The sequence below is a fragment of the Homo sapiens genome, chromosome 20 (genome assembly GCF_000001405.40).
Source record: "Homo sapiens chromosome 20, GRCh38.p14 Primary Assembly".
Taxonomy (NCBI): Eukaryota; Metazoa; Chordata; class Mammalia; order Primates; family Hominidae; genus Homo; species Homo sapiens.
This window is the reverse complement of record NC_000020.11, coordinates 24,471,288-24,494,927: the sequence shown is the minus strand read 5'-3', so window position 1 is coordinate 24,494,927 and position 23,640 is coordinate 24,471,288. Positions and strand designations below refer to the sequence as shown.

At 48.0% G+C, this 23,640-nt stretch overlaps 1 protein-coding gene across 23 annotated transcripts in view, besides 4 other annotated features; it reads right to left on the bottom strand.

Moving 5' to 3' along the window:
- The window catches only part of SYNDIG1 (synapse differentiation inducing 1), a 196,988-nt gene that overhangs the window by 171,689 nt on the left and 1,659 nt on the right, over window positions 1-23,640 (bottom strand). For 5 of the 23 annotated variants that reach the window (NM_001323606.2, XM_011529350.2, XM_047440496.1 and 2 more), the window contains exon 2: window positions 6,277-7,165. The exons of 16 other annotated variants lie outside the window; for them this stretch is intronic. The gene's annotated coding sequence lies outside the window, so the exon portion shown is untranslated. 2 more of the 23 variants (XM_017028064.2, XM_017028068.2) reach the window with 2 other exon arrangements.
- Window positions 2,904-3,563: an enhancer, noted in NCBI's record as "H3K27ac-H3K4me1 hESC enhancer chr20:24472001-24472660 (GRCh37/hg19 assembly coordinates)". NCBI's record gives its function as "activates a minimal SCP1, AML or CMV promoter by ChIP-STARR-seq in naive H9 embryonic stem cells {active_cell/tissue: H9 hESC(naive)}" and the evidence as "EXISTENCE:reporter gene assay evidence [ECO:0000049][PMID:30033119]".
- Window positions 3,564-4,223: an enhancer, noted in NCBI's record as "H3K27ac-H3K4me1 hESC enhancer chr20:24471341-24472000 (GRCh37/hg19 assembly coordinates)". NCBI's record gives its function as "activates a minimal SCP1, AML or CMV promoter by ChIP-STARR-seq in naive and primed H9 embryonic stem cells {active_cell/tissue: H9 hESC(naive and primed)}" and the evidence as "EXISTENCE:reporter gene assay evidence [ECO:0000049][PMID:30033119]".
- Window positions 4,224-4,885: an enhancer, noted in NCBI's record as "H3K27ac-H3K4me1 hESC enhancer chr20:24470679-24471340 (GRCh37/hg19 assembly coordinates)". NCBI's record gives its function as "activates a minimal SCP1, AML or CMV promoter by ChIP-STARR-seq in primed H9 embryonic stem cells {active_cell/tissue: H9 hESC(primed)}" and the evidence as "EXISTENCE:reporter gene assay evidence [ECO:0000049][PMID:30033119]".
- Window positions 14,968-15,469: an enhancer, noted in NCBI's record as "H3K4me1 hESC enhancer chr20:24460095-24460596 (GRCh37/hg19 assembly coordinates)". NCBI's record gives its function as "activates a minimal SCP1, AML or CMV promoter by ChIP-STARR-seq in naive H9 embryonic stem cells {active_cell/tissue: H9 hESC(naive)}" and the evidence as "EXISTENCE:reporter gene assay evidence [ECO:0000049][PMID:30033119]".

The window sequence follows — 23,640 nt, the reverse complement described above, 5'->3', positions numbered from 1 at the left end:
AGAGGGTCCTACATTAATGCAAAAACTCAGAGGGCTGAGGAGGCCCTGCACCCTGCCAGGGCACCAAGTGCATTTCTGGGCCTCCCTCAGAGGGGAAGAAGGCCACCAGGTCCTCTCTCAGTACATGGGGAAGGCTGGAGGTGCCTGTCACGTCTGAGGTCCCTGAAGCCAGCACAGCAGGGGTTCCTCTGGGTAGTCAGGCCAGCCTTCTGCAGGGCAAAGGGACAGGGTGAGTAGGGTGGCCCCTCAGGGCCCCGGTCCCTGCTGCCTCCAGTCCTGCCCACCCTCCCGGCCACATGCACCTCTCCCGGGGGGGTCTGTTCCCTGCATCCTGTTCCTCCTCATCCCTCGGGGCTCAATTTCACAGATGTTTGGTGGCACCAGTCCCCCAGGAATGAGTGATGTCAGCACCAGGCGCCCTGTCCATTCACCCACCACTGCCTACGCCACTCTCTGTGACTTCAGTGCCCACCCAACGTGCTAGCTTCTCGAGCTCGTCACGCCCCACTTCGATGATCTCTCCTGCTGCTCCTCCTGAGCCATCCACTCCCACAGTCACCCTCGGACCCGCCAGCTCCTCTAGCTGTGTGGTTCTAAGGCCACTCTTCTCAGCATTCCTCCCTGCTCATGCCCCCAGCAGCTTCCCTGACACTGTGCGCTCAATCCTCCATCCTTCACTATCTTCCCTTACACCACAAGTCCCACACATACTGCCCTGCTGTGCTTCTCAATCTGCACTCAGTGATCCAGTCCTCGGCCATGCGCGCCGCCCCGCCCCCGGCCCTCTTCCCTGCCCCTGTACTTTGCTGGTGAAGCCTCTGCTGTGTTCAAACCCAGTTCTCTCCCAGATCCTCCCTCCCCATACCCAGCGAGCAGGGGTGTGGCCGGGATGCAACCAGCCGAGCTGCCAGAGCCAGGGATCTCAAAAGGCCAGTATCCGCGGCTCTGTCCCCAGCTTCCAGGGCTGGGTCTCCTCCTCTGGGCCTCCACACGTTGGGATGACTCCAAGACCCTTCCTTTATCTTTTCTTCCTTCTCTCACTACCTACTGAGCTTGGCCAGCCGGGGGGCTCAGTGCTCTTCCAATGCTGGTGGTGACTCCAGCACCCGGCCATGCCTCCCCTCTGAGCTTGCGGCTGCCCAATGGTCCCCTGAGGGTGGGGGTAAAGCTCCTCACACTACAGTGTCAAAACAGAGCTCTGCTCCTCCTCCACCACCCTCCACTGCTCACCAACTCCACTGAGCATTTGAGCATCTTCTAGGTGCTAGATTTCAGGCCCAGTTGACAGAGCAGTGACAAAACCAGACAAAAACCCTCTCATGGAGCCTGCAACTCAAAACCTTCAAGGATATTTAATATTGGGGAAGATGTAGTTAAAACAAATCTACTTAAACCAGTAAGCAAACTTCACCACAGTGTGTGTACCTGCATGTGTGCATGTGGATGTGTGTGTGCCCATGTATGTGTGTGTACCTGTGTATGCCCATGTATGTGTGCGTACCTGTGTGTGCCAAGCATGTGTGTGCCCGTGCATGTCTGTGTGTGTCCACATGTGTGTGTGCATGCGTGTTTCCATGCCTGTGCATGGATGTGTGTGCACGTGCATGCTTGTGTGCCCATGCATGTGGATGTGTGCACATGAGGGCCAGTTCAGCTTCATGCCAATAAAGGAAACCCACAACTAGGAAAGTGAGTTCATTTAGCTTTTCACATTACTTGGATTATAAGTATGTGCTAATTGGAGTGAAAAATGATCAAGTGTCATTTAGGTTTGCTTGTGTAATTTTTCCAACGAAATTGACTTTGACAGAAACAGGAAAGAGAATGACTTATGCAGAAATATTCAAAGGTTTCCCTAAATTTTCTGAGGGCATCTCAATATTTTGATGGCCTTGAATTTCAATATCCCTTACCTGCCTGAAGCCTTGTAGATTTTCTCTTCTCCAGTCATTAGTGAAATTAGCACAACAGGATCATCACCACCAATGCTTCAATCTCACACAAAGCCATGCCCAGCATCACGTGCATCAGCACCTTGAATTCCTGCCACTTTCCAAAATGTGTCAGTTCTTTTGCTTAGAGGATTTGGCTTTCAGGTTGAAGGGCAGAGTTGGACTTTGGCTGGATGCAGGGAGAGGCAAGGCAAAGGGGAAGGAAGATGGAGAAAGGGGGATGGGCGTGCAGGTGGTAAGCTGGGTGCTGGGCCCCTCCCCTGGGCAGCCCTTTGGCCTTATAGGCCCCTCACACTCCAGCAATGTAGCGGGGGAAGGAGGGGTGGAGGGGGCGGTTGTGGGGACTGCACTAAGGATCTAAGGACCCCACCTGAAGCTGCTCTTCTTACACTCTCTCCCCACCTCAGGGCTAGGTGGGGGATTATGCAAACCTGGCTCAAGCCAGCCTCTGAAGAAAAGAGAAGGCAGTGCTGTCCTTTATCCTGCAGGGGAGCCACCGTGAGGTTTTGTTTTTCCTTTGAAACTTGGATGTTTACCAAAGTCTTTCCCAAGATAGATGACAATGCACATGTCCCCTGTGGTGGCCAGCAGCTGATCTCGAACCAGACAGCAGAGGCGGCGGGGCCGAGCCTACCCTCCTCATCTCCTAGCCACCCCTTAGCAACTCTCGCTGAAGGCCAGGCTCAAGGGCTGCTTTCTGTGTTCACTGTGGCTACTTGGCAGAGCCCCAACCCTGACAAGAAACCAAAAGCCCACCAGAACAGCGAAAAGTGGGGGGCACATTCCAAGGGGGTGTGGAGAGAAGGCTCTCCCCAGCGTCCCTGCGGTGCCTGGAGTTTCACTGTGGACACGGACGCGACAAGATGGGAGGATCTGTTCACACGGAGCCGGCCGGGGGCCTCTTGCCTGGGTCACCTGTTAGTGGGGTCCTCTCAGCAGGCGTGTGCCTGGCTCTGCCTAGGGCACAGGCCTGCTTCAGTCCTATTTTCATTCTTTCCACCTGTCTTCAGCATTTCTTGTTCTTGTATTTTTTATGGTTTTTGTTTTGTTTTGCTTTTGTTTCCAAAGAGTACTTGCATTGAAGGAAACGATCAGCTTCCTGATGGAAGGTCCTCATTTTCCATTTTGTTTTCTTCCCAGAAAGTGCATGACACAAATCTTGATGTGCCCAGGAGCCCAGAGACTTATGACTTAGTGAAATGTCTTCAAGCATAACCATACTTTTAATTTCCTCCAGATACTCCAAAGTGCTGTCAAGCTAGTGTCCTTTGCTGGTGTTACAGTTGGATTTTCTACTTTGCCATTTGACTGTAAGGTCAGTGTCAGTGTTGGGTCTGCACCTGGAAGCCACTGAGGGAGGTACATGTCACATCCCCTGGCATCAGGAACGTGACGGACCTTGTCCTGGGTCTGCTATGGGGATGGTGACAAGGCAAATCCCTCCTGCAGCAGGGCATGCTGCTCACCCTGTGCGCAGCTGTGCCCTGGGCCAGGCCCTGCGCTGTCAGAATCAGGAGCTAATAACATCAAGGCAATAGCATCTGAGGCTCGCCACTCTTTCATCTTCTGCACCTGTCAACCTACGGCAAGTGAATTGGCGTTGTTCGGACATGACTGGCCCTGCAAAAAGACTTGAGCATCCTGTCCTCTCCTGGCTGCTCTCCCAGCCTGTACAGACCTCTGTTCTCCAGGGGCAACCCTTACTTTGTTTTATTAAGTATTCCACGAGTCACCACTTGTGCCTTCAAAGAATTCCCAAAATGGATCGCGGCTGACCTCACACTCATTGGAGCCAACTGGTTAGCATCTTAAGGACTGAGGCAGTGGTGCTTGCTATTGAAACATATTTTCTGTATGTTTTACTATCAATCCCATAAGGGTTATTGCACGCCATGGCGCCTGTCCTTTCCTGACCCTGGACCTCAAAGGCCGACCCTTACCTGCCACAGCAACCAGACGCACGAGGAGCTCCAGGGGCCACGACTCCATGGCACCTCCCTAAGTGGGCTCAGTACTGCCGCTGGGCTCTAAAATGTTGGCCCAGGCCTTCTCCTCTGGGATTTACTTCCTCCCTGGCTCCACCTCCACTCACACTGGTGCAAATTTCCAGACTGTGGGGCTTGGCTTGCTGATTGACATCTGCCTGCCCTCCTCTGTGCTGCCCTGGAGCCTGGCGCTTCCAGGTTCCTAGCAGAGCTTCACCTGCCATATGAAGGGCCCCGATCAGCCCATTCCCTGGTGCTAGCCTTGGCTGAGGCCCCACATAAGGAGTCCTAGCCACAGCTGTCATGCCGGCCCCTGCTTCGTGACAATCCTGCTGAGCACTGCACATCTCTCATCCAGGTAATTGCCCCGACGACACCATGGAGGGGTAACTGGCGTGCTCGCTTCATTCATAAGGAAACCGAGGCACAGAGAGGTTGAATGATCTCCCAAGGGCTAGGGGCGAGCCAGGGTCCAAGCCCGGGCACATTGGCAGCAGAGCCCCAGATACAACCTTCTTTATGCCTAGCCCCTTCCACTGCCCACTCCAGCCCCAAACCACCTTTCCCATGAGGACTGTGACTTGGTTTCCCCTCCTCTAGGCCTCTCCTCATTTCCAAACTGCCAAGAGCAAATCCCATCCTCATGGGCTCATAGGCAAGGCATAACTGCTATTTTAGGTGAAATAGCTCTCTATAAATAAAAATCAAGAAGCCGCAAAGACGAGCTTTACATAAAGTACTCTGGGAACTGTGATCTGCGTGTTCCTCATTCAGGCATGGAAACACACTGATCCCTCCATGACAAACCAGACCCGCAGAGGCACTCCGCTGGGCCTTCTGCCCTGCCCCTGTCACTGCCCACAGCATGTGGATGGAACAGGAAAGGGTGCAGGGCCCCAAAGGTATCCTGGAGGGTGCCTCTCTGGCCCCTGTCCCTGGCTGCATACTCCCCTGCCTCTCTCTTCTGTTATTTGTGGGAGCAGATGTGGTGGATTCAGCTCGGGGGCCACACACAGATGGCACCCTCACCCTCACCAGATGAATCTGGGGCTCCTATGCACTGCAGCACCAGCGGCCAGGCCTGCTTGGTGATGACACAAAACAGCCCACAGGGCTTCTTAACGCACTCCAGTGGCTGTGATCAGAACTTCTGGTTCTTGACTTGCTGCTCGAGTCTGTCCCTGAACCGCACACTGTCCTTTGGCTGGAGGCCCCTGGCTCCCCAGTGGCAACTCCCTCCTCCCTCCATGCCGCAGTGACATTCACAGAGGTGGGAGGTTACTGTTCAGGTTATAAGTGTGCCTGTGTGTGCATTTCTGTGTCCATATAAGTGTGTGTGGTGAATGTATGTCTGTTTAAGCATGTGTGTGTGCATTCATGTATGTGTCTGTGTGTGGTCATGTGACTGTGGTGTGTGCCTGTGTCTGTGCCTGTCCCTGTGAGCATGTGTGTGCATGCATGTGTACGTGTGTGTGCATGTATCTGTGTCTATGTGTCCATGTGTCTGTGTGTCCATGCACGTATGTGTCTGTGTGCATGTGTCTGTGTGTGCATGTATCTATGTGTCTGTGTCCATGTGTCTGTGTGCACATGTGTCTGTATCTGTGTCCACATGTCTGTGTGTGCATGCATGTATCTTGTGTGTGTGTGCATGAATCTATATGTGTGTCCATGTGTCTGCGTGTGCCTGCATGTGACTGTGCCTGTCCCTGTGAGCACGTGTGTGCATGCATGTGTGTCTGTGTGTGTGCATGTATCTACATGTCGGTGTGCATGCATCTATCTGTGTCCATGTGAGTGTATGTGTGCATGTGTATGTGTGTGTGCCCCCATGAGTGTGGGTGTGTGCATGCGTACAGATGGGAAGGTGGCCTCCACATTTCTAGAACACTGCCTTCTAAAAGAAGCTGGATGTTCATTTCTGGGTCAGGACACCTGCAGGAATCTCAGCCTCCACAGGAGCTTAGACTTGCCAAGACCAAGGGACAGGGCTCAGCCACAGTGGGGAAATGATGACTAACAGGGGAAGAGGCTTTTCACATAGAACAGGAGGAAAATCCTGACCCCAGGACCAATGCCCCATTCCAGAGCTGTGGAGCGAGGCGTGTCCCTTTCCTCCGAGCGCCCGGGGATGCTCTGGCACCAGGCCTGGCATTAAAGACATCAGCAGATACTGGAGAGGTGTTTCAGCTGAGAGTCCAGGCAGGAAATGTATTCCATATTTAACTTCTGTCCTGTGAAACACTCACACCTTGGTCCCACTGAGCTCATCAATGAGACACCGTGGGCCTGCCTGGGGTATAGAGTTCTTGGCAAAGGCTGAACAAACGAGGACTCACCTTTCTTGGGCAAGAGCCAATGTGATGCCCAGGGACGGCTCCTCTGGTGTCCACACCCTCTGGCTCCAGCAGGACAAAAGAATTCTGTCCTTCATCAGTTTGTGCCTGGAGCCTGCAGAAGGGCTTGAAGCAGATGAAGTGTTCCCTCTGCTCCCCACTCTGGGGCTTGTCCAGCTGGTCTACCATTGTTGTCGGCACACCACCAGGTAGTGAGAGCTACAGTGAGTTACAAACAGACGTGGAGCACTGAAGAGAAGTGGGGGCACCCCACAAGGCACTGGGCGAAGCACTTTGTATGTGTGCACAAATGGGAAACGTCTGTTTGGCTCTCACGTCTGGTTCACTGTGAATGCAGTGCCTCGCATGGTGCCTTGCCTTTTACCAGGGCCAGGATCCCGGCTGAATTATTTCCCACACTTCCTCTCTGCAGGAGCAATAAATGACCAGCTGAATTCCCTTCCAACGTTTACTCAAGGGCTATATTGTTGAGTGTAAATATAGAGTATTATGCAGAGATATTTCTAGTCCATTTTTTTCTAGCCATGTGTTATTACTTGTTGTGTAACCAATCACCCTAAGAGTTGGTGGGTTAAAATGGAGTCATCTCATTTTCTGGGTTGACAGGTGAAGCTGCGCTGGGATGCTTGATTCTTGGCTGGTCTCTCCTGGGGTCACTGATGAAGCCGCAGTCAGCTGGAGTAGATCGGCACACTACAGCCTCACCGACATGTTTGGACAGCTGCTGGCTGTACCACCTCAGAATGGGTCCATCGCCACTTTCGCTTCCTTGTAGTGCTCCAAGCCAGTTATGGGGTCAGTCCAAATCCAGATCCCAGGACCTCCTCTTCTTGACGGGAGCTGTGGCAATGTCACAGTGCCAAGGGCTGGGCTGTGTGAAACAGGATGAGAGGAAGTGTTGCAGCCCCTGTTACAAACACATCACATGGGGCCAAATATTCCAGAAGGAAGGAATATTAGCATGCATAGATGCATACTTATACACACACATATACATGTACACATACACATCTGTGTGCACGTGGGGGTGCATTTCCATGTGGACACGGATTCATTTCTTTAGTCCCACTGCATGAAAAAAGTGCGCTGGACCCTTTGCAGGCATTACCTCACATTCCTGAGATAACAGCACTCATCTCTCACTTAGAGATGGAGGAACCAGAGCAGATAACTCAGCATGGCCACGGGGCTGTAAGGGACAGAGCTGGCATCTGGACCACCATCCCTTGTGAACCTGGGCTCTTGCTGTGTCTTTTGTAACACTCATCACCTCAGTAAACCCAGAAGCATAGCAGTTGCCAACTACAGCACTGATTTTCTACCTCCAAATGTTTAAATAAAAGGATGGTAAAAATTTGTTTTTTATTATATTGTTACATAAGACAAATTTTAAGCATATTATATTTCTTGACCCAAAATCCAGGTTGTATAAGTTTACTTAAGGCAAATTAAACCATAAGTGAAAGTCTGCAAGCTCTGTGCTGCTGGCCTCTCCAGCTGAAGCCATTTCTTCCCTCCTGTGGCCCAGCCAGGGACAACTACTCCCAAATACCCCCCACCCCACATCCACCGACCCTCTCCCCCCAACCTTGGCCCGTGATTCCCCGGCTGCTCAAAGTGTGTCCTGCGGGCTAGCAGCACTGTCATCACTGGCACTTGTTAGAAATGCACACTCTCGGCTGCGCACGGCGGCTCACACCTGTAATCCCAGAACTTTGGGAGGCCGAGGCAGGTGGATCACGAGGTCAGGAGATCGAGACCATCCTGGACAACATGGTGAAACCCGGTCTCTACTAAAAATACAAAAATGAGCTGGGCATGTTGGCGCACACCTGTAGTCCCAGATACTCAGGAGGGTGAGGCAGGAGAATCGCTTGAACCCGGGAGGTGGAGGTTTCGGGGAACCGAGATGGCACCACGGCACTCCAGCCTGGTGACAGAGCGAGACTCCATCACAAAAAAACAAAAAAAAAATTAAATAAATAAATAAATAAATGAAAGAAAGAAAAAAAAGAAATGGAGACTCTCAGGTTCCAGCGACCCACTGGACCAGAGCTCGCATGCCTGCAAATCCCCAGGTGTTATGTGAGTGCATTAGAGTTTGAGGAATGGTGCTTGAACAGACATTTCAGTAAGCAAAACTGATTCAGCTGCTGCTTTAATATTATAGACTAAACTCAATTTTTGGTCTTCACATTATTTGTGTATAAACCAATTGTTAAATATCCCCAGGTGAATCTAACATGCAGCAAAACTTGAGAACCACTCTGGACCTGTGCTATTCAAAGTCTATGGATAAGCAGCAATGGCATCAGCCCAGGGCCTCCACCTGGCTCCCCAGCCCAGGCAAGGGGGTTGCCACCTCTCCAGCACCCACCCTGCCCTCTCTTGTGCCATCCTGCCCACACCACACCCAACCTCACACCCACCAGCAAACCACTGACTTTTCTTTTGATTTCATAAATACACCCAGTCTTCCCTTCCCACACCTACCCTGTGATGTGGCCTTGGCACGCCTGTCACTGAGAGCTGGGGTGACCCTCCCTGGCTGAATAGGGGACCCACTGCTGGATGTCAGTGCTTCACCCTGCCCACCTTCACCTGGAGGGTGGAAGAGTTAAGTTCTCATTAAATCCTCAATTGTACCCCATACTTTCTTATTACCAAGGGTGGCCACGAGACAAAGCTTGGGCCAAAGACATCTCCTGGGGGGGTCTCTGTCCACCTTTCTCACTTCTTGCCTTGACCTCAGATGTGATATCGGGGGCAGTAGCAGCCATCTGGGAGCCAGGAGGGAAAGGCCACAAGGACTATAGAGATCCAGCTCCAACCGCACTGAGCTGCTGAGTCAGTAGCTCCTGCTTCCAGATTCCTCCAGGTATGGAAAACTCCATTGTTTAGCTCCTGAGTAACACTCAGCCACATTCAGTCTTCTGTCATTTGTTGCAGTACCATTTCTACGTTGTATACACACACTTGCTAAAAGGGCTCTTTCTTTAAAGGAGATATTACTGTACGAAATAAAGAAAAAAAGAAGTAAGGCAATAAAAAGCTGTATCCAAATTATATCAAAATTAGCTTTGCCACTGATTTCTGCATAAGTCTGGAGAAGTCACTAGATCTACAAGGACCTGAAACTTCCAAATTTTTCCCACTTTTCCTTTCTATCTCTTCAGTGAAAACATTGGAGAGAGATGGAATTGAAGAAAATTCCAAAGACCTATAATTTCCTTACGTAATGACAAATGCATCCATCTAATGAACAAAATTGGTGCTATCAATCTATGTCCCAGATTCTGCATCATGGACTCAAGTATAGCACCACACTCTAGAAGATACTTTTAAAGAACAATATGACACACTAAGAATATATACAGACATTGGAAAATAATTAAGACTATGTGTCTTAGTCTGTTTTGTGTTGCTATAACAGAATACCTGAGACTGGGTAATTTATAAAGGAAAGAGGTTTATTTAGCTCAGTTCTGTAGCTGGGAAGTTCAAGGCCATGGCCCCGGCTTCTGGTAAGGGCTTTTGTGCTGCATCATAACATGGCAGAGACGGTCAAAAGGGAAGTGTAAACGCAGGGAAAGAGACCAAACAGAAGGAGGAACCTTGCTTTATAACAACCTGCTCTGGCTGGAGCGCTAATCCAGTCTCAAGGAAGAAAGAACTCACTACTTCAAGAATAGCACCAAGCCATTCATGGGGATCTGCCCCCATCACCCAAACCCCTCCCACTAGGCCCCACCTCCAAACACTGCCACATTGGGGATCAAATTTCAACATGAGTTTTGGTGGGAACAAATAATTCATACTCAAGCCATAGCACTCTAGAAAATCCATATGTTAAACAAATAGATCTAGATAAATTTCTGGTAAGAAAAGGCTCTACTTTTCATTATTTTGTGACCTAAAGACCTATTGTGTGTAGGGCAAGTAATTGGAGTATTTTGTTTTTTAGTATCTGTGTCAGATCATCGTTTCTAAAGGTGGACACAACACTACTTCCCATCCCACATCTATTCCTGGATATGGCCCTGATACTCCTCTCAGTGAAACGTGGGGTCTCTGCTCCCTCCCCTTGAACCCAGGTGGGCTTGAGACTCACCCTGAACAGAAGGAGTGTGGCGACAGTGACGTGACCTGACCTCTGAGGCTAGGTCAGAAAAGTTCACGCAACCTGTCTTTTACTAGAAAACTCAAACCGGAGCCTTGACCTTCCTTTTACGAAGTTTAATACCTCAAGGCTGCCATGCTGTGAGAAAGGCCAATATCGTTCATGTGGGGAGACCACGTGCAGCACCCCTGAGGTTACAGTTACCTGGCTGACCCCCAGTAGCCCCAGGCCCCCCACTCTTCTGGCTCCAGATACACTCTGACAGCACCTGCCTGAGAGAATGGGGCTGAACACGCCCAGCCGACCCCTCCAAAATTCCCAACCCTCAGCAGCTTTCATGCTATACATTTTGGGGCAATCTGGGCAGCAGTAGGTAGCCAGGACTGCACTTGAATTCGTCTGACCCCATCTGTTGTTTCTCGTGTGGGCACCTGGATCTCAGTAAACACCACTGATGCAGACGGAATTCTGAAGTCACATCCAACTTCCACCTCCTAGGTGCGCGGAGGCCTCTGTGACCTCTGCCCTATCCTGCACCCTCTGCCGAGAAGACCCCTTATTTCTACTCCTCCAGGCTAGTCACTCTTTCGCATTCCGAGTCTTGGCTGCATCTGGACGCAGCATCCCCGCTGGCCTGCCTGTATCGCCACTTGCACTTGCACCGTGTCAAGCAAAGTGAGGCCCTGCACACTAGGCAGGGCCTCTGAATGCCCTTCTTCCATGAGGGACCAAAGCCTTTCATCTCTGTCTCTGGGGTCTGCCACAAGGTCAAGCAAATGGCAAGTACTCAATATGTGGTGAACGAACTACTCTTGAAAACATATCCACTGCTGTGGGGCTTAGAGCCAAGACGGTCAGCCGCAGGCAGGTGCGTGCACACGCGTGCTCAGAGGAGAGGGGCTTCCTCAGGCTGGGACTCCTGGGTGGGAATGCAGAGCACGCTCTTTCAAGGGGCAGGGAGGTGCCCAGGGGAAGTACAGGAAGAGCAAACACTGGCTGAGCACATAATGTGTGCTAGCTCTGGGCATAGGACGTGGGAACATAAAATATGATTAAGAAACAGATTTTCAGTCAAATGAGAGAGAGAGCAAAACAATTTCTAAACTTTTGGGTTTTTTTTCCTAATCAAAACAGTAATCAAGGATCAAGTTGAAAATCAGAAAAGTACATAACATAGGAAATGAAATCCACATGTAACCCCATGCCTGGAGCTACTCGTGGCAGTACTGGCATCTCCTGCAGTCCCTTCCACACATGCACACCTTTCTCTGCATGCGTGTGAGTGCCCACGGCTTGGACTCCTGCTGCGTCACACTGCAACCACAACGTGCACTGCATGCTTGACAAAGACACCCTTCACTCAACTTCTAGGAGGCTCCAGGCTTTCCACTTCCCCCAAATCAGGTATGAATGTGAACGTGTAGCCGAAACATTACATCCAGACCTCTGATTACTTCCAAAGGATAGATATGTGTTTAAATAGGTTTTTTAAATTGCAAAAACAACACATATTTATGAATTCAAATCATACCAATGCATAGAAAATTAAAACCATGGAAGTTCCTATTTCCATTCTACTCTTCATGGCTACATACCATTAACAATGTGGAGAACAGCTTTCAAGAATTATCTGAATAAATATTTAAACTCTCAGAGAATAACATATTCACACAAATGTTCAACATATTTTCCTTTAGCTTTCCATCCTTAGTAGTTTACCATGGACATTGATCCATGTAAATACATACCCAGCACAGCCCTGGCCAATGGACAAGGGATTTAGAATAATTTAATCATTATTTTAAGAACATCATAATAGTTGCATCATATTTAACCATCCCCTTTTGACAGGCATTTAGTTTTTTTCTGACAGTTCATTACTGGAAGCAAGATACACATACTCTGCGTGTATCTTAGAAATGTTTTAGTGGTTCTGTTGTGTGGCCACAGATATAGGGGAAGGACCTCAGTGAACATTTCAGTGAAACTTTCAAGACAAGAGATTCAACCTCCCCAGTGATCCCAAAGGCTGCCTCAGGTGCCTTTACTGAGCAACTGGAATCTCTGAAGCTGGGCAATCATTTTGGAAAGATGTGTCTTCCCTAACTTTCATGTGCATTTTCATCATTACAAGTAAAGATGCACGGCCGGGCGTGGTGACTCACGCCTGTAATCCCAGCACTTTGGGAGGCTGAGGCAGGTGCATCACAAGGTCAGGGGAGACAGAGGTTGCAGTGAGCAGAGATCACACCACTGCACTCCAGCCTGGGTGACAGAGTGAGACTCCATCTCAGAAAAAACAACAACAACAACAAAAACCAAAAAACAAGTAAAAATGCACATATGTTTTTCCATGTATTTCTTTCTTAGTCATTTCCACTTCTTCTCACCTTTTTCTCCATGGCATGAGCTCAGTTTTTAATTAGGTTGTTTGTGTTTTCTTATTTGCTCTGTGAGGATTATTAAGCATTTGTTAATTTGTTGCAAATGTTTGTTTCCAGATTATTATATGCGTTCCAATTTTGTTTACAGTGCCTGTTGTATAGAATGTGTACATATATATATATTTAATCTTTATCAATTTTTTTTCACTTGGGATTACGGTAAGATGTTCAGGCTGAATTTATTCATGCTTCTAGAATATTTATTTATCAATGCTTTTTATATACATTCAGAACTTTTTATGAAATAGGGAGATATAAATTGACTTTACAGTCCAACTACCTACTTCCAAAGTGCTCCATGTTGACTAATTCAGCTCTCCCCGCCAGCTCCCACACATTCATTAGGCTCTTGGGGCTGGCATCTGTTTCAGAGCTCTCTGTCTGACCTACCTGTCTGCATGGCAGATTGAATACATGGTTCATAAATTCTTTCACACACCTCCCTTCAAAAGTGGGGTCTAATTTGCCTCCTTGATTCTGGGCTGGCTTAGAAACTTGCCTATAATCAGCAGAATCTTGTGGCGCTGACCCAGAGTGGCTGTGGAGACGGTTCAGGAGATCGTGCAGTCTTGACCATGTTCACACTCACTTTTGGAGCAGAAGCCTCGGCATATGAAGTCTGGCCCCCTTGACACCATGCTGGGAGGAAACCCAGGGAGAGGTCACGTGTAGGTGCTCCTGGTCCAGGCTTCGAGTGAGCCCAACCTGGGCAAGGACTCCAGCCCCAGCCATGTGAGTCTTCCCAGCTGAGGCCCCAGGAGCCATGGTGCAAAGATAAGCCGTCCCCACTGTGCCCTTTCAAATTCCTGACCCACAGATCCATGAACACTGAGTTTTGGGGGCAGTCTGTTATGCAACAGTAGATCAGAATAGCCTGTTAACTACATACCAGTAACTAGAATCTTACATTTCCAATTAATGTAGTTTTTTTTTATTGTGGCAAAAAACACACACACACACAACATAAAATTTACATAATCGTAACCATTTCTTAGTGTGCTAAGTATATTGACATTGCTGCACAAGGGTTCTCCAGAACTTTTTCATCTCGCACGTATGCAACTCTATACCCTTTAAACAATAACTCCCATCTCCTCTTCCCCAAACCCTCACAACCACCATTGTACTTTGTGCCTCTGAGTTTGAGAACTCTCAGTATGTCAGATAAGTGAAACCATATCGTATGTGCCTTTTTGTCTCTGGCTTATTTCACTAAGCATAGTGTCCTCAGGGTTCATCATGTTGTAGCCTATGACAGAATTTCTTTTCTTTTCAAGGCTGAACTATATTTCACTGTATGTGTTTAGCACATTTTGCTTATCCGCTCATCTGCTGATAGACTCTTGGCTTGCTTCCACGTTTTAGCTATTGTGAATAATGTTACTATCAAAATGGGCATGTGCATATCTCTTCAAGACTCTGCTTTCCATTATTTTGGATATATACCCAGAAGTGGGACTGCTGGATCATATGGCAAATCTATGTTTAGTGTTTCTGAGGAACCTCCACACTATTTTCCATAGCAACTACGTCCTCTCACAGTTCCCCAAGTAGTGCACATGGGTTCCAATTTCCAAACGTCCTTACCAACACTTGTTATTTTCTGTGATTTTTTTGACAGTAGCCATCCTAATGGATTTGAGGTCAATTAACGTAATTTGAACACTTCGTTTTATTATCTGGTAGGACATTTCTTCACTGAAAAAAATTTAGTACTGTAGCCTAAATTTCATGAACTTCTGAATAATTCTGTCAAGCTCAAAAGGCAATATAATATTGGCATTCTGATTGAAATAGCATTATATAGGTCTTACACATTTCTTGACAGTTACTTGTAGATATTTCATCTTCGGTTGTTCTGCTAATGCCACACCAGTGCTGGGATGGGCCCAGGTGCCAAGGACACCTAGAAGCGGGGATGCCAAACTTGGAGGAAGGATGCTGGGAAGAGGTGATGATCAAGCTAAGCCTCTGAACCTCAAAGGAGATTAGCAAGAGGCAAGAGGTAGCCAACTGCAGGTGGGGGAGGTGTGGGACTATGTAATGTGTGTGCGTGCGCGCGTGCACGTGTGGGACCATGGAGTGTGTGTGTGTGCAGGCATTTGTGTGTGCACATGTACCTGTGCATGGCAGGGCAGGAGTAACTCAGTGTTCTGGGCACCTAGAGAAATGGTGATGAGGCTGGAGGGTGAACAGGGACTGACAGGACAGCCTTGCCTTGTATCTTTCCCAAGCAGCCTGTCCAGTGCCAGTAGGGGGCTTCGAGAGGAGCGCCCCAGAGGCGGATCTGCACTTGAGACAGCTCACTCTCCTGGCAGTCCTGGAGGCAAGAGGCACAATGCAGCAGGCAGGGAGAGCTTGCAGGACGGTACTGAGATGATCTGGCAAGAGATGAGTGTGCATATGGGGCCAAGGGTGGAAAAGATGCAAGAGAGAGGCAGGAAATACTTAGATCTAGTGATGAGGAAGAGGAAGAAGCACAGGGGCTAGGGAGTTTCTGGTGTGGATTCCTGGGTTACTGAGTATCATTATCAGAGGAAGGGGCATGGGAAGGGAAGCCTGAGGGGCTGGAGGGAGCAGATAGAGAATGGGTTCACTGAGGCTGCTGCCCCAGAGAACATCCCAGAGATGGCCTTGGGTAAGGGGTAGGGACAGGAAAATATCTAGGGCAGCCAGTTGTGCACATAGGAAAGCTCAGTTGGTAGAGGTGAGTCCTGCCCCTGGGGCCACTCCATTCTGACAAAGAAGGCCTGGCAGGCGGAATCCAAGGAGGGTGAGGGCTCGGGGAGAAGGTCTCAGAGGAGCGGGAAGAACCCATCAGGACGGGGCTCCCAAGTCACTCTCCAGGGCTGGGCCAGGCTCTGGTGGAGACAGAGACCCTCTGATTTGGGTCCCCAAGAAGCAATTTGCATCCTTGTTTTTACTCTAATTAGGCACCAACTTAGTCTTATGGAGAGACTGAAACAGTTGGCAGAGCCCAACTCACCAAATATATATTTCTGTAATATTTAAAGCTCTGAATAGAAATTCGAGGAAGATCAGCATTTCTGGGCAGTGTCTAAGGAGAAAGAACATTTCCATCTTCCGGGAAAAGCCTTATGCTGAGAGCGAGACAAGAACACAGTGCCCACGAGGTCTGACAGTCGACCTGCTGTCCTGCGGAGTTCAATCCGATATTCTCTCTAAATGTCTTGGCCTCTGGCATTACAGGAATGCAGCTTCCCCTCTGCCTGCCTGTGAGTTCTGTGGGAGGCTTCTGTTCTCCCTGACTTTTCTAAGTGCATGACTCCTGGCCTGGCCTAGGAACTGGGCCTCCCCTTGCCCATGGTGCCCCTGACTGGCTGTGGCGCTCTCCTCCCAGGAAACCACTGAAAAGCACAGATGGAGAAATGTCCTCATCACATTGTGTTCTACCTGGGGCTTGCTGGAAGCTGGAGCTGTCTGCATCTGTTTGTCTACGGTGCATGGGGTCTGTCATTGTCCCAAACAGTATTCTAGGTTCCAGCAATGCCAAGAAAACTAAGTACAGTGGGTGAGAAAAAATGCACTTTAGAGACAAATACAAAAGCAAGCAAGCCCTGAAAATTTGGGTCCCTGTGCCCTGGCTCTGCCTCTGGCAGACAGTGAGGCTGGACGGCACGTTGGGGAAGCCCTCTGGGTCTCTTCATTCCACCAAGTGTCAAACAGGCATCTGGGGAGCTCGCCGAGGGAGTCACACAGAATAACAGCCAAAGCTCAGTCTCCACCCCTCCCTCCTAGGGCTCCTCCCTTGCCCTGCCTGGCGCTGCCACTCTGGTCCCTGAGACAGACACCGAAGCAATAAGGCACCAATGGTTGAAGCTGGTGGTCTTCCTGAATCTCCTTCATGACAACATCCAAACAGGCCCTGCCAGCTTTAATCTGACCCTTCGGGTTTGAGCTCCCTTTATTTCCTCACAATTGTTTAGCTCACCTCTATTTCATCCAGACCTGAAGAGCAGAGCCACCCTTTTAGGGCAGCCAGGCGGCCCTGTGGTGAGGCACCAGGCTTACCTGGTTCTACCAAGAGAGGATGCTCAGCCACTGGCAGGGTGGAGTTCTTGTCCAGCCCAGAGCCAAATCCTGAGGTCGGTAATGCTGGAAGCCCACGTCTGTGTCTTAGGTCCAGACAGCACAGAAACACCTGGAGTTTGGAGTATCTATAACCGTGTAGAAGTGCTAGTGACTGAGGTCTATTCTTTGGCCAATGCTGGGCTTTCCATCAGCCCCTCCATCGCACCCCAGCCTCAGTCTCCCCTGAAGGGCAAATATCTCCCAGAGCCATGGCTCTCCCTACTCCACTTCCATGCACTGGCCTGGCCTTCTGCATAATGTACAGGACACACTGGAGCCAGGGGCAGTGGGGTGCTGTATACCCCATCCCCTCAGTAACCTCTGCAGGTATCCAGGGCATTGCAATCACTGGAGGACAAGATGATGGAGAGGCAGGGCAATCACAGATGGGTTACAGCTTGGCTCTCTGATCCAGAGACCATCAGGAAGCCCTTTGTTCCCACTGTCTATGAGTCTGGGTGCTACAGTCCCAGGTGCACCGGGGGCAAGGCTGAAGTAGCAGAACAGACTAGCTGGTAACTGCAGTGCCAGACTCTGGGTGGGACAGATAGGTGACTGAAGACAATCAATGGGATGCAGGAAAGCTTAGGGAGGAGGGAGGTGTCCATGTGGCCCTGCTCTGGTAAAAAAAGAAAAAAAAAACAAAACAGTGTGTTTGAGGACGGGCTATGGCCCAACATCAATGGTGAGACGGTAGGGCCACCTGGTCACCCCAGCACTCACTAAGCAGCCCTGTGCCACTTTGCCCTGTAGGCATGTGAAGAGCAACAGAGAGAACCGTTGCTGAGATTAGGGATGCAAACTCATTTTTGTGTCCCAAGAGTGTGACGCATGTTTTTCCTGGAAAGGTATGTGGCAAATCAGAAACTCGAGGTCTAGCAATAGGCAAGGAAGGAAGCTACAGAATTCTGCACATATTGAGTCAACAGATACATTTCATGTCTATGGTTCTAAAATAGACTGTGATGTCCTCAAATATATCTAGGGCTCCGATTTACAGCTAATACACCTACACCCAGAACATTCAGATTAGCAAGTGTACCAATGAATGTTACACAAGAGGACCCACAGGAGCAGGGCCATGGCAGATGGCAGAAGGACAGAGATGCAGCTGGACAAATGACTCTCCTTGCTCCAGGCTACTTTAGTGGGACAGCTGTGCTGCAGGCTGCAGGGTCCTTACCAAGTCCAGAGCAGTTAGGAGAGGCTTCCAGCAGAGCCTTGATGATCCCATTGTGAACAAAGTGTGTGATACTTAATATCCACAGTTTTTTTTTGTTTTTTTTGTTTGTTTGTTTGTTTTTTTTTTAGTTGGAGTCTTGCTCTGTCACCCAGGCTGGAGTGTAGTGGCGGGATCTCGGCTCACTGCAAGCTCCACTTCCCAGGTTCACGCCATTCTCCTGCCTCAGCCTCCTGAGTAGGTGGGACTACAGGTGCCCGCCACCACGTCCGGCTAATTTTTTGTTATTTTTGGTAGAGATGGGGTTTCACCGTGTTAACCAGGATGGTCCTGAACTCCTGACCTCAAGGGATCTGCCCGCCTTAGCCTCCCAAAGTGCTGGGATTACAGGCGTAAGCCACCGCGCCCGGCCAATATCCACAGCTTTTAAAGATCAGGATAATAATGAAGGGCAGAGAATAAACTTAGAAATAACAAAACAGATTATTCCCCTTGACTCAAAGTTAGCTTTCAACAAAAACCTGTCTTTGTGAGGAAATTTAGTGTATTAAACTATTATTAGAGTACTGAAATGAATGAGCTGTATCTCTGGGTTTAGTATATAAGAAAAAAAACTGTTAAGATACTATGCACATTAGGCTGGGCACAGTGGCTCATGCATGTAATTCCAGCTCTTTGGGAGGCTAAGACGGGCAGATCACTTAAGGTCAGGAGTTCAAGACCAGCCTGGCCAACAGGGTGAAACCACGACTCTACTAAAAATAGAAAAATTAGCCGGGCATGGTGGAGTGCGCCTGTAGTCCCAGCTACTTGGGAGGTTGAGGTGGAAGAATCGCTTGAACCCGGGAGGCGGAGGTTGCAGTAAGCTGAGATTGTGCCACTGCACTCCAGCCTGGGTGATAGAGTGAGACGTCATTTCAAAAAAAAAAAAAAAGATACTATGCACATTAATTAGCTCACAGTTCTCTGTTGTGGAGCCACTTGTCACAAAGGCACTATGGAAACGGTGAGGAATTGGGAGAGAAAAGTAAAGCCAGAATCGTACACAGGCAAGAGATGTCTGAAAGCATTCCAAGACTAGGTTAGGATTGGTGGGACTGCCCTGTGCAGGGTCCTCTCCAAGGTCCTCACAAATACAGGGTTTCCATGGGAGATCTGAGGCAAACGAGTGCCTCTTACAGTCAATCCATGACAGTCAATCATCTATGACTACAAGCCCAGGCCAGCCCCTGTGCTTAGACAGCATGTCAGAAACCACGCACACTACCTATCACATTTCAACTCTTTCAACTGCCCTACTGGTCCTGTGCCATTATCCCATGGGGCACTCGACCCATAAGGACAAGGTTTCTTATAAGGGAGACACATGGGTGATGGGCTGAGGCTGAGATGTCAGACATGAAGGTTGGCTACAGAAACACATAGGCTTTCTTAAATGCACTTTTAGAAACTGCAAATAATTAACAATGGAATTGGTACCAATCTTTTGTAGGATGAGTTGGGCTTCCCTGGGGGCTACCCTAAAGCTAATGCCTCAGGCCACTCCCCAGCATGGCTACTGGGTTTCCACTGGGAAACTGTCCCAGGACTTAATCCCATTAGCATCTTCAGGAATAAACTCCTGCATCTCAGACCCATGCTAGCTGAGGGTCTGTACCACCAACATGTGAGGACCAAGATCATAGGAGGAAGTTAAAAACTGCCTATTGTACTCATGACAGAAGAGTGAGTTTCTGTAACATTTCATTTATTTGCTTTTCTAAGTGGGGGCATGGGGGGTGGTTCCAAGTGTATTTGAGGTAAGATTACTGTATCTCCCTTTCAGAAAGATCTGTAGTTTAAAGTTGAGGCAATGGAATAAAACTTTTGTGGTTCTAATTATCTGAAATGTGTTTGCTTTCTGGTTTTGTTTTGGGCACTGAAGTTTTCTGAAATAGAGGAAAGGTAAGGAAGAAACAGATGGAGGTAACGTGTGAAAGCGGGCGCCTGCCCAGTGAGGCCAAGTGATAGATTACAACTGAACTTGTTGGAGACCTAAGAATTGTTCAAAATAGAAATTTAACCTAAGTGAGCCGTTCTTGAAAGACGCAGTTTGAAATCCACGCAAGTACTCTCTCCTTCAGACTCATTCTCTAAATGCCACCCCAGTATTTAAAAATGAATGTTATTGACAAAAATTCAGTTAACAACTAAAAACCAAGCAAAAAGTTTTTCACACTGAACACGGATTGCAAGGCCCATCTCTCTGAAATAATGCTAACTGAACTCCTAAATTCTTTTTATGCGACTAAACAGGCAAGGTTATCCCCTGGGTTGTGCCTTTGGAAACAGCTTTTATTTTTATTATTTTCTACCTGTGTTTAATGTTTCCTGGTTCTGTTATTTTTGGTTCTAGCAGTTATTTTTGATCCTGAAGCTTATCTGTTGTTGTTCTTTAGAGTTTCTATTTTCCTTTGTTTTTGGTAGTTTAACAGGTCATTTATCAAACAATAGTTTAAGATGATTTACAGTTTGTCATCCAACCATGCTTGCATCTTGAATCATCACATATTATAAATGGAGGGTGGTGGTCTGTTGGTAATCTGTTTTAAAAATGTTTCCATCTTAGAGAATGCATCATGTAAGTTTTATAACATAATATGAATCTAATTTAGTTATGCTAAGGATAAATTTCATAAGCTATTGCTCACATGCCTTTCCTATCCATTCCTGTAAATCTTTAGCCCACATGGCTATGTACACACCCTGGGTACATTCCTGTGCATGTATCCATCCACCCCAAGTGAGTGCAAACACACTGTCCCAGTCCTCACTCTTGCTGATGGCAGGTTGTAGGCTCCAGACTCTGGGTTCTGCTGCTTGCTAGTTGAATGATCTTAGACAAACCACGTCACTTTTCTGAGACCATTTCTTTTCAACCATATTCTTTCCAGGATTTTGAAAACCAAGCGTTAATGTTGTCACAGCTTGTTAAATGAAAAAGACACTGGATTGAGGACACTTCATTGTCTCAATGTTTCTCTGGGTAAATTTGTATTCACATGGCATTCTGAGAAAACAAATGGGACCTTCCAGATTCTGGAGCCTATGTCTGCTCATGGCACTCGGGAAAGGCCCAGGGGGAAAGAGGGAGTAGCCTGGAGACAGGAGACACTCTGCACGCCTGTCTCCCCAGTGCGTCCCTCCCCCACTCCCCGTGCAATCCAATATGCTGCCTGGACATAAGCAAAGCAACCATGAGGGCACTGAATCATAGCTGGTGCCCGGGTTACTTCATCTGCTCTTTGAACACAAGTTTAGGATCTCTCAGGAATCATTCAAAATGGGCATCTTGCACAGAGAATGCTGAGAAACCACATTTGTTCAAACCTCCTGCCGACAACTTCATTATTCTAATTCTGGTGACGTGGTTAGAGACCTGGTCAGCCTATCTCTAATGTTTTGAATACTGCTTTGTAGAGATTTTGACACCATGCCCCTAGTGTAGTGATGCCGGGTCAAGAGCTAAGGCTCCAAAAACTTCTATCAGTGCACTGCCCCAAAATGACCTTATGCAACTTTCCACTGATACAAGAGGCTGTTTTGCTAGTCATTTACCCCTAGTGTTCTGCTGGTGTTGTCAAATTAACACCCCACATACTTCAGTCCTTGTCACCTTTACCCACTCATTCAAAGAATTTTGCTGATAATGTGACATCTGTTCAAACTATGGGCCACAGCGGTACATTTACTCTGAGATGGAGCCTGCATTTTCCAATGTGCATGAGGGTCTGAAAGGCCAATGTGAGGGGCACAGGGTCAAGCTGGAGTCATGAAAAGACAAGGTTTTATTTGGGGATGGGTGACAGGACATAAAACTGCTCACCTACAAGATGGTTATTCATCTTACAAAAGGTTAACTAAGGACACCTTTAAATAGTGCACTTTATAAAGGTATTCAAAAGTCTGACTGACTCCTCTAAGAACATCACTGACAATTTTTAGGAACTGCTTTTATATACAGGAAAGCACAGAGGTGTGCAGAATGGGAGGGGGCTGGTGGAGGGAGGGCCTCCCCTCCCACTGCCTCCAGTGCCTCCCTGCGTGCCATGCCTCTCCAGACAGTAGAAGTCACAGTGAATATCACATCTCAGCAAGCACAGAGCCTTTTCAGAGGGCAGAGCAGGTGTGACCTGGAGGATGACCAAACATTTTCTAATTAGACAATGAAATGTTCAGTACTCTCCATGAACCTCAGAATAGCACCGACTAGTGCCTCAGATAGAAATCTTACATAAGAAAACAACTTTCTATTCTCTGATAATAGTAATAACTCCCTAGAAAATACGATTTAAAATTAATGAGAAAAATAACTCAAGTCTGGTAGAGCACTTTTAATTTATCTCAATGCTAAATGTGGAAGAAATTAATTGCTTATAATTTTTGAACTGAGTTTTAAAGTTTTTATCAAAAAAAATTCTCTTGCCTATCATGGCTCAACCAGAATCGTGTTCACGCCCTTCATGAATTAGAATGAGTCTGTTCCTATTGCTAACATATCTGTCTTCCCAGGATCCGGACTTGTCTTTCCTTCTTCAATATCTCACCCCTGTACGCCTCAAGTAAAGTTGGCAGGTTTTCCTTTTCTACCCTAAAATGGGAATGGAGGGGGCCTTCATTTTTATTTTAATATCACCTATACTCTAATGGGGTTATTAAAAACTGACATTTCTGATAGGTGAACATAAAATGAAATGTCATCAGCTGGAGATACAGAGGGATGTGTTTAGAGGTGAAGTGAGTTTGGAATGGTTTTTTTATTTTTTTGAAGTTTACATCAAAGTGATTTTGTATTTTTACTGAATTGGTTTATTTTATCAGATATTAACAAATTATAATTGTGTATGTTTATGGGGTACAAAATGATGCTGTGATATGCGTATACAATGTGTCATGACTGAATGGAGCTAATTAACCTACTATCCAATACTTAGCATTTTGGAATGAGTTTTGAAATACTTCATCAAACAAGGCTTCCAAAACTCTGTGGCCTCCAAAACTCTACCAAAGGTAACTGCAGGTGGTGACTGGGTGGGGGGTACACAAAGCTTCAGTGCTATTCTCTGTCTGTCACTGTGTACAACTGAAATTTTCCATAATAAAAAAGTTTAAAAATAGGTTTCTCCATCTTTTCTTTCCTTTTTTTTTTTTTTTTTAACAAGGCCCTCTTGATTATGAGGATTCCGTTTTCAGGCAGGAAATGGGGACAGGGTGAGAGAGGGCGCCGATCAGCTACTGTCAGGCTTGCTCCTTGCAAAGGGGCGGGCGGTGGAGAGAGAGGGGAGGGAGGAATTAAGGGGATCGCGCTTCCTCAGGGCCCACAGGCCTCATACCTGTGGTGTGGACCTCCAAAAGAACGGGCCACACCACCGCCAAACACAGAGCACGCAATTCAACTAAAAATTCGACTTCAGTTTCTTCCTGTCCGCGCCAGAACGGACATCAGACTGCCCCCCGCCCGCCTCCTAGCA